Below are 13,217 nucleotides of genomic sequence, written 5' to 3'. Positions count from 1 at the left end.
AATCATCACTGCATCTGCTTCTATTCATTATCTTCTCTATCAATTAATAATCTTTCTCTTTGCTTTTTTGTACAATTAATAATTTCTAATGGTATGTAACACTATGACACTCCAAATGACATTCTAGATGGTTTCCTTGTAGAATCTATCAATTGTGGTCTCTTCTCAAAAAGGTTTCCATTCATTCAATTATTTATCAGAATTTAATAGCAGTTTACCCTAATAATCTTGGGTCTTGGTTTTTAGCTTTATCGGGGGTGGGAGGGTCTATTTCAGTTTCATCTTATTCATAGGGTATGTATTACTCCCAGACTGTGATTTTTCTGAGCTCACACTTTCTAGGATTTCTGTGGTTTCCCCTGTCATTGTTTACCTGGATTTTGGATTGGATTGTGTCAAGGTACAAGCCTTTTTAATAAAAGATTTTTGTTACCCTGACATCCCCACCATGAGAAAACCTATATTGAGTTTGAGTGAAGGGCACCTGCACTCTCCACACCTTTCACGTATGCCCTGTGCCTTTTGCCTTTCTGAACTGGCATTTTCACCCAAGCTGAACTGGCATTCAAAAACTTGATTCTTTTATAATCTGCATTCTGTTGTGTCATCCCCAGGTGTAGTGCCTCACGCCTGTAATCCCAGCACAGTGGGAGGTGTAGGTGGGTAGATGGCCTGAGCTCAGGAGTTTGAGACCAGCCTGGGCAACATGGTGAAACCCCATCTCTATAAAAAGCAAAACAAACAAACAAAACAAAACATGATACCTGCTATGGTGCCATCCATCTCCTAAGGCCAACAGCATAGAACAGCCTAATTATTGCTTTAACTGGAAAGGGTCGTAAGACATTTCAGGCACAATTTTTGCTCTCAAGGGACTACAAAATTAGGCAAGAGTAAGGGCAATAAGAAGAGTGAAGGTCACAGACTCTGCAGCCAGCATTCTTGTTCTTAATCTTTGTATACCTGAGCAAGTCATACAACCTTTCTGAGATTGTTTTCTTACCTGCAAAATGGGATTGTAGCAGGACGAGCCGCAGACAAAACTCCTCAGACACCGAGTTAAAGAAGGAAGGGGTTTACTCGGCTGGGTGCATTGGCAAGACTCCTGTCTTAAGAGCCGAGCTCCACGAGTGAGTAATTCCTGTTCCTTTTAAGGGCTCACAGCTCTAAGGGTGTACGTGTGAGAGGGTCGTGATCGATTGAGCAAGCAGGGGGTACGTGACTAGGGGCTGCATGCTCTGGTAATTAGATCGGAACAAAACAGGATAGGGATTTTCACAGTGCTTTTCTCTACAATGTCTGTAATCTATAGATAACATAACCGATTAGGTCAGGGGTCCATCTTTAACTACCAGGACCAGGGTGTGGCGCCGGGCTGTCTGCTTGTGGATTTCATTTGTGCCTGTTAGTTTTAACTTTTTCTTTCTTTGGAGGCAGAAATTGGGCATAAGACAATATGAGGGGTGGTTTCCTCCCTTAGGATAATAATTGAACTTACTTATGGGGTTTTGTACAGAGTAAATAGGTTTATACCTATCAAATACCTGGAAGAGTTTCCAACCTTTGGTAAGGATTGTTTTCCTTGTTTTCTTGGAAACTAACTGCCCAGGCCTGGGAATCAAGGACTCTGTGAACATCAGGCAGCTGTAACTACAGTGAAGTGCAGGAAACAGTCAGATTCTGCACTAAATCATAATGAAATTGCTTTCCAAGCCATCCATTGTTAGTAGCTCAGTTTCAAAATCCCTTGAGAGAGCGCCCAACTGGTTAGGACTAAGTATTATCCTATATACCTCTTGATTATGCTATGTGTAGAAATGAGGACTAAGCATCTTTGGTTTCTGTAGAGGAAGGCAGTCACTATCTTCCCCAAAGTAACCAACATAATAACAAACAGAAATAAGACCGGATGCTGCTCATCCAAATTATGAAAAATGTCTATTACACAAGGCCACAAGAAATGTTAACACTTGACATCAATAAATTGATCAAAATTAATTCTACCACAGATGAATAAATTGCAATTTACTCAGCCATGCCCCCCCCCCTTTTTTTTTTTGCTATTTAGACCATGATTTTTCTTTACTTGCTACTATTATTTTAAAATTTTTTCTTCTTGGATTATTTCATTTACAGTATTTCATGGAAATCACCACTGTTGAATCATGTGTTGTGCTCACTTTACATTTTGACATATATGATCAAACTGGGCTCCAGGAAGCTTCTTTCAATTTATACTACCGGCTATTGTGTTTGAGAGAGATTGTACTCACCACTGAGGACACTGCAGTAAGAGAGGGTAATATTCGAAGGTAGTCTAGGAGCACTGAAAATTCCAGAGGAGAAGGTGATTTGTGGCTATGATTATTACCGCTTATTTTTGGGTTCTATGTAGAGTGCTATGTAGGTTCCTCTGCTAAAAAGGATTAGAAGAATAAATACAAAAATTGAATATATAGATCAGGTGCTGTGAGCATTGTGATTGGGAATAAACAGGGTGAATAAAATGGTTAAAATAGTAGAAAAGGCAAAATCAAATTTAAAAAACAAAGATCTGTAATAGAACAAACCAATTTGATTGTATCTCTTCCTCTGTGAACTGCAGACAACAACATAAAAATGAATTGCAGGCAGAGGAAGAGGGTGAGATCCCCATTTGATCACTGTGTTCTGAGCTTCTTGACCGAGCTGGGTGGGGAGTGGTGGAGAGAATTTAGAAATCTAGGATAATGGAGAAGGTGCCATTAAAATAACGGGTAAGAGCACTTAAGATTGTCAACAGTGCCATCAGCAATGTAACAATTGGACTGGGGAAATTAGGGGAACATGAAGAAATGAGCACATTTTCCTTACTAGAATAAAAAATTCCGAAGTGGGGTCAGGCACGGTGGCTCACACCTGTAATCCCAGGACTTTGGGAGGCCAAGGAAGGCAAATCACAAGGTCAGGAGTTTGAGACCAGCCTGGCCAACATGGTGAAACCCCATCTCTACTAAAAATACAAAAAGAATTAGCCGGGCATGGTGGCATGCACCTGTAATCCCAGCTACTCGGGAGGCTGAGGCAGGAGAATTGCTTGAACCCGGGAGGCGGAGGTTGTAGTGAGCCGAGATTGCACCACTGCACTCCAGCGTGGGCAACAGAGCAAGACTCTGTCTCAAAAAAATAAATAAATAACAACTACAACAACAAAATTCCTAAGTGCTCACTATGCAAAACTTGTTACAATTTGGTGCTCAACAACTGTCAGGGAACAATAGTTTCTTTAACAAAATTGTAGAAGGATGACCAACAAGGAGAGGCAGCCACTCGAAAGGGAGCAGGGAAGCAAGAGATTAGATCACACTCCCTTCCCGGGCTTTTGAACACAGAAAGAAGGCAGCTGGAGGCTTTGGAGACGGCGGTGCAGCAGGAGAGGGCCAGGGAGATTTTGGAAGGCTGTGCACTGCTCTATTGGACCTTCCTGCAAGCTTTCACCTCCTCAGGGATGTACAATATCCAAAGTATGGCTGGGGAAAGGGCACAATGATTGAGACCTGCTTAGGCAGAGCAGAAATGCAACCTGGGCACACACATAGAAGCAGAGTGCATACAAAAATAAGATTAAAGGGTTCAGAGAAACTCTGGGGGTAGCTTAATTTTCAAAGCTATGGAAGAGGCGCTTAATGCTAAATGTTTCCAAATCTTGAAGTAGCTGGGAATCTTAAGTGTTGTGTGTTTTTTTCACATAGGATTTTCATACTAAAATGCAATACCTAAATATGTGTTAGATTAAACCATGCTTTATAATTGAATTTAAGAATGGCCTCTCACCACACGTTAAATCTTGGGATGTGCCAGGCACGGTGGCTCACACCTGTAATCCCAGCACTTTGGGAGGCCAAGGAGGGCAAATCACCTGAGGTCAGGAGTTCCAGACCAGCCTGGCCAAAATGGCGAAACCGCATCTCTACTAAAAATACAATAATTAGCCAGACATGGTGGCAAGTGCCTGTAATCCCAGGTGTTTGGGAGGCTGAGGCAGGAGGATCGCTTGAACCCAGGAGGTGGAAGTTGCAGTGAGCCGATATCACACCACTGCACTCCAGGCTGGGCAACGAGAGCAAGATTCTGTCTCCGATGATAATAATAATAATAATAATAATAATAATAATAATAATATTTGGATGTGAGGTGACTAGAAGTTGAGACAGATCAGGCAGGATCTGTGAAAGTTCTCCACGCACTACCTCCAAGTCAGGGACATGTTGAAAACTTCTCTGAGATCTTAGTTGGAACTTTTGTGAACTGCATGTTTTAAGATGGATGTGAGAGGTACAGACCCAGGCCCTAAATCACTGTGTGAATTTACTAGGAAAAGGCTAAGAAACCATGGTATATTAAGCCTTTCTTGAATTGCTATAAAGAAATATCTGAGAGTGGGTAATTGATAAAAGAGGTTTAATTGGCTCATGGTTCTGCAGACTTTACAGGAAGAATGACGCTAGCATCTGCTCTGCTTCTGGGAAGGCCTCAGGAGCTTACACCCATGGCAGAAGGTGAAGGGGGAGCAGGGCAGGAGCAAGTGAGACTGGGGAGGGAGGGGCCCACACTTTTAAACGACCAGATCTCATGTGAACTCAGAGCGAGAACTCACTTATCAGCAAGGGAATGATCTGCCCCATGATCCAAATACCTCCCACCAGGCCCTTCCTCCGGCATTGGGGATTACATTTCAATGTGAGATTTGGGCAGAGAAAATATCTAAAATATCTAAATTCTATCACATTGGGTAAGTGGGAAAAGTGGAAAATGGGGTACAATCCATCTTTGTGAGTGAAAATTGTATCACGAAATTGGAGCTGTGCAGCCGTGGGAAAGGATGTCTGTGGCCGCCGCGAGTGGCATGCTGCAGCCCTTTTCTCTGACTCAGAGAACCTCTCGGCTGGGGAGCTGCAGGTGGGTCGTCTGTCACGCACAGTTCTGAACTCCTGGTGTAACCAGAGCCTAAAAACATATGCAGGAACTACGCTGCCAGAAACAGAAGTGGAGAATTTTGAGTTGGCGTTACAATATGCCTCTGAACTTTCAGAGAAATGACAGGCCTCAGACAGAAGTGACAGATATAAATGGAAAGTTTTCAGGGCCTGGCATTAGGAATTATATCTGGTCACATACCCTCAAATTCCCTTCATTTCTGAACTGCTGCACAGTGTACTTGAACTAGTATAATGTGATAGGAAGAGCTGACAGAAATTTGATGTCAATTTTCTTCCACATAGCAAAGAAAGCAAAAAATGCTTCAGCCCTCACACAAACTGCTGTAGTGAGGTGTTTGGAAAATCATCCCTGGCTAGAGAAAGCTGCTGTGAAACCAAACTCTGTATATTGAATAAAGTCTTACTCAAAAAAAAAAAAAAAAGTCTTCCATGAAAGACTCAAGAATATCCCTAAATTTTTGAAATTATTGAAACTAATTCAGAAGGAATAAGAGTGCAAGGTAGCACTGAATGGAAAAAAAGCAAGAGTTCACAGTGTGTCGGCATCAGAAGCAACAACCTGGATCTGGAAGCTGAGGTTGACACAAGCTTGACTCAGCCACAAGTAGAAATCCTGGAGATAATGGCACCCCCCGATTGCTGGTTCTCCTGCTCAGTACTCTGGCCTTAAACCAATGATTTTTTTCTGATATGGGGAGCTGGTCAAAAAAAGGCAGGCTTTGACCTCGTTGAAACTTACCATCCGATATGGTTTGGCTGATATGGGAGGTAATAGAATCATGGGGGCGGGTCTTTCCTGTGTTATTCTCGTGATTGTGAAAAAGTCTCATGAGAGCTGATGGTTTTATAAGTGGGAGTTCCCCTGCACAAGCCCTCTTGTCTGCCACCATGTAAGACATTCCTTTTCCTCTCTTTTGCCCTCTGCCGTGATTGTGGGGTCACTGCAGACATGTGGAACTGTGTGTCCATTAAACCTCTTTCCTTCACAAATTATCCAGTCTCAGGTACATCTTTATTAGCAGCATGAGAACAGACTAATACACCATCTATCTTTTCAGGCTGCTATAACAAAAATCTCATGGACTGGGTGACTGATAAACAACAGAAATTTATTTCTCACAGTTCTGGAGGCTGGAGATCTAAGATCAGAGTGCCAGCCTGGTCAGGTTCTGGTGAGGAACCTCCTCCTGGATGCAGACTGGTGAATTCCCTCTGTACTCTCACATAGTGGAAAGACAGCGAGAGAGCTCTCTGGGGTCCCTTGTCTATAAGCACTAACCCCATTGGTGAGGACTGCACCCTCATGACAGATCTCCTCCCAAAGGCCCTGCCTCCTAATAGTATCATATCCAATTAGGATTTCAACATTTGAATTTGAGTGGGACACAAACATGCAGGCCATAACACCACCTGGTTCCTACAAGACTTCAGTAACTGTAGGGTGAGTCCTAGAAATAAAAAAAGAACTCTGCAGATGGTCTTATGAAGCATGTATTTGTCCTACACCATCTCTAATTTTTATCTCTTAAATCCTGTGCAGCTACCTAAAGCTCTGCTCAACTGCTTAGCCTCTTAGGTGTTTTTGTATTTTTGACAAAACGAAGTCTCTTAGCTGCAGGTTCTAAATTATCTATATTCTGAAAGAAAAAATCATGCCAAATATCAATCTCACTTTCCTGGATTTTCCTTTGTAAAAATATTTTGAGATATATTTAATGTGAGGACTTTTCTAAAACAATCCACCAAATTTCGCAAGAAGTCAACTGCTGTGTCCCATTATTTTGCGGGTCTGTTTCCCTCTTACTACCCTTGAGTGTTTGTCTTACTAAATATTTTTTCCCATCTCACTCTTTTTATGTGGATTTTTAAGTATTGTAAAATTTGATGTTTGACATATAGTACATCTTTCTATCTTTATTCAAAATATAAAAATCATTTCCGCCATCCTAGGAAGTTTTATTTTCTCCTTCTTAGTAAACTTTACCCATCATAAGAAACCACTGTTCTTATTTCTATCACCATAGACTAGGCTTTTTTCATTGTTTTCCTGAACTTCAATGAAGTGGGATCATTCAGTATGTACTCTCTTGTGTATGGCTCAGTATGTTTCTCAGGTTTATCTATGTTCATGTATGTATCGATAGTTTCATCTTATTGCCAAGAAGTATTGTTTTGTGTGAATATACCACAATTTCCTTATTCATTCATTTCTTTAGCCATTCTCCATTCCGTTGTTTCAGTGCTACTTGTTGAAAGCATTTTCTTTTACACTTTGAATCCTCTGTTCCGTTCCATTCAATGGCTTTATCTTTTCCCTCATGTCATGTCATCCTTGATTATTCTAGTTCTACATGAAGTCTTAACATCCCTCAAATTTCTTTTATCATCTAGCTTTGGCTGCTTTAGATCCTTTTTACTTCCTTTTTTTATTTAGAATTAGTCAATTTCTTTTGTAAAGGCTATGGGGATTTTGATTAGGATTGCTTTGAATCTACTGGTACATTTGGAGGTATTTCACATATTAACAATGTTGAGTTTTCCAATCTATGAACATGTTACATAAATCAATTTGTTTAGTTCTTCTTTAATCTCTGTAAATTTTATTTTTTTTAGTGTAAAAAACGTGCAAGTTAAATTTATTTTTGCATATATTTGTATGTTATTATAAATAAAAATTTTAAATTTTATTTTAAAGTTATTTGTTTCTGTTACATATAAATACGGAATATTTATATATAATGTAAATACGGAATATTTATATATAATGTAAATACAGAATATTTATATATAACATAAGTATTTCTAATATTTATAAATATTGAAACTTACCACCTGATATGGTTTTGCTGATATGGGAGGTAATTGAATCATGGGGGCAGGTCTTCTGCCCACACAAATATGTATCTGTATTTATATATAACAGATAACAATAATTATCATATTGTTTGTGTTATATATTAACAAAAAAATATTCAGTATTTATATGTAACAGATAATGATTATCATAAAGAAAATATTCTGCATTTATCTATAACAGAAACAATATGATAATTCTATATTTCTCTGTATTCTGCAAAACTTGCTAAATTTCTTTTTTGGTTCTAGAAATGTTTGTATGTATTATGGAGTCTCCGCATAGATAATCATATTTTATGCAAATAAAAATAATTTAATTATTCCTTTCTCTGCCTTTATTTTTGTGCATTATTGCACTAGCTACAACCTTCAGCTAAAATGATGAGTAGCAGTGGGGATTTCAGATAACTTTGCATTATTCAATAATTCTTCATTAAGTATGATGTTAGCTATAGAATTTTCATAAATGATCAATATTAGTTTTCTATGGCTGCATTAATGTATTAACACAAACTGAGTGGCTTAAACAACAGAAATTTGTGATCTCACAATTGGGCTTCCAGAACTCTGACATGAAGGTACGGGCAGGGCCATGGTCCCTCTGGAGACTCCAGGAGGAAACTGTTTTTTGCCTCTTCCCTTTTCTGGTGGTTCCAGACTTGCAGCTGTATCATTCCAATTCCTGTCTCCATGATGACAATGCCTCCTCCTCTTCTGTGTGTCGTGTTTCTTTTGTGTGTATCTTAAGATGATGCTTCTCATTAGATTTTTGGGCCCAACCAGATATTCTAGAATGATCTCATATTAATTGAATTATATCTGCAAAAACCAATTTTCCAAATAAGATGATAATCACAGGTTTTCAGGATTAACAATTGGAAATATCTTTTATGGATCCGCCATTCAATCTACCACATACCCTTAGTCAGGTTGATGAAGTTTCCTTATGTCCTAATTTGCTGAGAGTCTTTATTACGAATGAGTATTGAATTTTGTCAAATACTTTTTTCTGAATGTATTGATAGATATCTGTGATTTTTTTATTTTTTTCCTATACTGAACTTCATTTATTAATTTTCAATTGTTAAATGAACTTTGTATTTCAAGGATAAATCTATTTGGTCATCATGGATTGTACAGTTAAATTGTTTGATTTGATTTCTTCAGTGTTTTGTTACATTCACGAGAGCTCTTGATCTGCAGCTTTCTTTTATTTTTATTTGCAATATCATTGGCAGGTTTTCATAATAGTTATAAAACCCTCAAAAAATGAGTGTAGGCTGGACTCGGTGGCTCCTGCCTGTAATCCCAGCGCTTTGGGAGGCTGAGGTGGGCGGATTACTTGAGGTCAGGAGTTCGAGACCAGCCTGGCCAGCGTGGTGAAACCCTGTCTCTACTAAAAATACAAAAATTAGCCGGGCATGGTGATGGGCACCTGTAATCCCAGTTACTCAAGAGGCTGAGGCAGGAGAATCACTTGAACCCAGGAAGCTGAAGTTGCAGTGAGCCCAGATCACACCACTGTGCTCCAGCCTGGGCGACAGAGCGAGACTCCATCCCAAAACAAAAACAGTGAATCCATATGGGACCGGAATTTTCTTTGGGGAAATGTTTCTGATTATGAGTTAAAGGTCATTGATAGACACTTTCTATTTCTTATTGTGTTAGTTTGGGTAAGTTTTGTTTTCCAAGGGATTTGTCATTTTTATTTAAGTTGTCAGGCTTATTGTCATAACATTATTTGTAAATTATCATGTTATTCTTTAATGAATGTAGAACCAGTAGTGATATCTAATCTTTTATTCTTGATACTAATAATAGTATTTAATATTAATAGCTTTTTTATGTGCCAGGCCCTTTCCAAAACATTATTCTTTAATAACAGCAAATAATGACTATGCAATACTAAGTGTTAAGCACTGTTCTAAGTACTCTTATTATCTCACAGCAATACTGGGAGTTTGCTACTGTTATCATCCAATTTTACAGGTCAGAACCCTGAAGCACTAGCCTGCTCAAGGTCTCACTGGTAGTAGTGAAACAGCTAGGGTCTGAACACACACTGACTGACTTCAGAATTGGTACCATTAACCAGTTCAGTGTGAGCTTCTGCAAGTGTTTTATACAGTCCTTACAATAACTTTATGAACAAATACTACATTAACACCAGGTTCACTGATGAGGACACTGTGTATCAATCACCTCGAGTTCATGAACTTTGATTATTGAACTCGCAATGAGTCACAAACGTAGTGATCTGTGAAGACAGACTTTAACTATAACATAGCAAACTTTACCAAGTATGTGAGGCTTGTGTTAATTATGCTTCAAATTAGTAATGTAAGGGAAGGTAATTGTAGTGTGTGATGAGACTAGCATCTGTGGTGAATGTAACTAGTAATGATTGTCAAAGAGGTAGGTGAGACTTATAGGAAAACTTGAGTTCAAGACTCACTTTGCTTCCCTGCATTTCAAGTAGAAATGATTTGGGTCTTATTCGATTCAGTAATTTTGTACCACATACAAGTGTGAGAGGCAGTATCCTGGAGCTGTATATACTAGAAAATGAAATTGTGGGCTGTGACATTTTGATGACTTATGGAATATTAGATCTCTTGGCCTTAAGAGACAATCAAAGTTGTGATAAGAAGGTCAACTTACTGACTCAGAAAACACTCAGTGCCGGGGACAGGTTTTATTTTGTCTATTATGGATTCAAAACTTGAGAAGCTCTCGTGAGGACACGGTTCCATCTCTGCCATGTCTGAGCTTGCTGTACTTTTCAGGGGTCTGTTGTCAGAATGTCTCTCTTCTTATGACAACACGGCTAGCTCAGGGCTTACATACCATTCTCTCGTCCTAGAAGTTCTAAACATTCTAAGATTGAGCCTCACTAGTTCTTTTTGAACTACACAATCACTCCCACTAATCAGATGGGCTATTGACTGAGCAAGCCTGGTCATGTGTTCACCTCTGGATGATATGGAAGTTCATGTTGGACTGTGAAGGAGTGATGAGGTCCATTCCCTTTCTTCCCACTGGCAACAACTGCTCTCTAGATTTTTATATTTCCTTATAGTGTTACTGCTTCTATGAATCCTTAAACACTGTGGCATTGGCTGTTTGGGGATTTTATATAAATGGAATTGAATAACACACATTATGTTCTGACTGGCTTCTTCAGCTCAATATTATATTTGTGAGATTTATGCAAAGTATTGATTGTATTTGTGGTTTATTCATTGTTATTGATGAGGTATCAAATTCTCTCTTCTGAATAGACCATACTTATCCACTATAGTAAGGATAGACCATTTTTTTGTTTTGTTTTCACTCTGAGGTTAGTGCAAAAAAAATGTGGCAATCACATACGTATATCTTCCATGAAGAGCACACATTTCTCTAGGATGTATGCCTAGAACTGAGTTGCTGAGTCACAGGATGTGCATGTTTTTAAATTGGGAAGCTAAGGCCAAACCGTTATTCAAAGTATTTGTAATGAGGTACATTCCTAACAGAAATGTGTGAGAAGTCCTGTTGCTTTACATCTTTACTTCATATACTGTCAGATTTTAAAAATTATTTTGTCAACATGTTTACATATAATTGTTAAAAATGTCTTTTTTCTTGGTATTTCTTGTATTTCTCTGATTTGTAATTAAGTTAAATAGTTTATCTCATGTTTATTGACCATGTGAATATTCTCTTTTCTAAAATACTTCTTTTCTTTTTGCACATTTTTATTGGTTTGCACGTTTATTTTTATTGATTTTTATGTCTTTCTCATGTACATGCTTTCTCTCTTTTTTCACAGATTTAATAAGTTTTTATGTAATATAACACTAATCCATTGCTGCCTAAATAACATAAATTAGGGGTGTTGTTTTCACTGTGTCTTGCTTAACAATTACTGCCTATTTTGAAGTGAGGAAATTATTTTCCTATGTTCTTGGTTTTATAATTTTCACTTTTACAGTTGGTTTTAATCAACTTGAAATTGGTTTTTGGTAAGGTTAGACTCAAACATGAATTTTATCATATATTATTATAATTACCCCAAAACATTCACTTATTGAAATCAATTGTCAAAAGATTTATTGAAGATTTTCTACTGCTCTGCATGGCTGTGTCTTTCATAAGTCAAGTACCCATATAAGAGGGATCTCTTCCTGTTTCCAGACCTTTCATCCTGTGCTTGGGTCTTTATGAATCTCAATTATTGAATTCTACATTGTAATAATTATCATCAATTAATAATCAAGGTGACTATATAATTTATTTTCCAAACTAGGATTATTTTGAGAAGGTGCCCAATAAATCAAACTATCTGAGTTTTAGAAATATTCATTTATTCATGAGTAATTTGATTTTATGCTGTTGGTGAACCTGAAGAGAATTCTCCTCAAAACTGTTTTTAAAAATGAAACTATGTCCCAAAAAATGAAGTAACATAATACAATGTATACATTGTGTATAGCAAAGCAAATTTTTAATTTTTAAAAATGGACTCTCAGCCTCAAAGATGAGAAAGCAGAGTAATTCATTTTTGTAACATTCGCAAAATTATTTTTTACCTACATCTATTTGTATGAGTTTGTCACTGGAATTTCTCAGAAATAAGGGTTTTTTTTTTCTTGAATATGATCATGTATAATTTGTTATAAACTTCACTGTAATCTTCAAATTTTTAATTTATAATTAATAACTTCTTTATGTTTGTTGAAAACTTGATTCCATGTTCCCTGAATACACAAGTAGTTTTGAGAAGATACTCTTTTCAGAGTTTGAGTTACCCAATAGGCTCAGAGAAAATTCTGCTTCAGGGAGGATTTCCTTGTCATTTTAAACAATATGAAATGTATAAATATTTTGCCAAAATATGTTTTAGGTACTGCTTTTCAGCCTCTATTCAGATCATCTTTCTTTGAAAAGAATTTTTACATGGAAAATTGGTTGATTCTATTTATGATTCTTTTGGATGTTTTACATTTATATGCTGGAAAATCATAGACCTTCGTTTCATTCTGTTCCACTCAGAACATAACTTTATCCAATTAAAATAGGAAGTTCATCAGAAATTCTTCTCACAATCCAAGATATTCCAAATCACACTCATAGAACTTGAGAATTAAATTCTGTGCACCATCTGAGCTCTCATTCTGCAATTTGTTCAGTTCCTCCCTTGCTTTTGTCAGGGTAATTTTCAATGTCTTTTTGCTTGCAAGGTCTATTTCCAACAATTGCAGTTCACTCAGTTATTCAAAATCTGAAGTTTCTTAGCACTCTATTCACCAAATACTTGGATTAAAGATTTCCAACCAATTTTAAACAAAATGGAATCAATTTTTAGAGAACATGTTTATAAAATAACTCAGTAAGATT

This window comes from Homo sapiens, chromosome 13 (genome assembly GCF_000001405.40).
Source record: "Homo sapiens chromosome 13, GRCh38.p14 Primary Assembly".
NCBI lineage: Eukaryota > Metazoa > Chordata > Mammalia > Primates > Hominidae > Homo > Homo sapiens.
The sequence above is the reverse complement of the archived record's forward strand: the minus strand, read 5'-3'. Positions refer to the sequence as shown.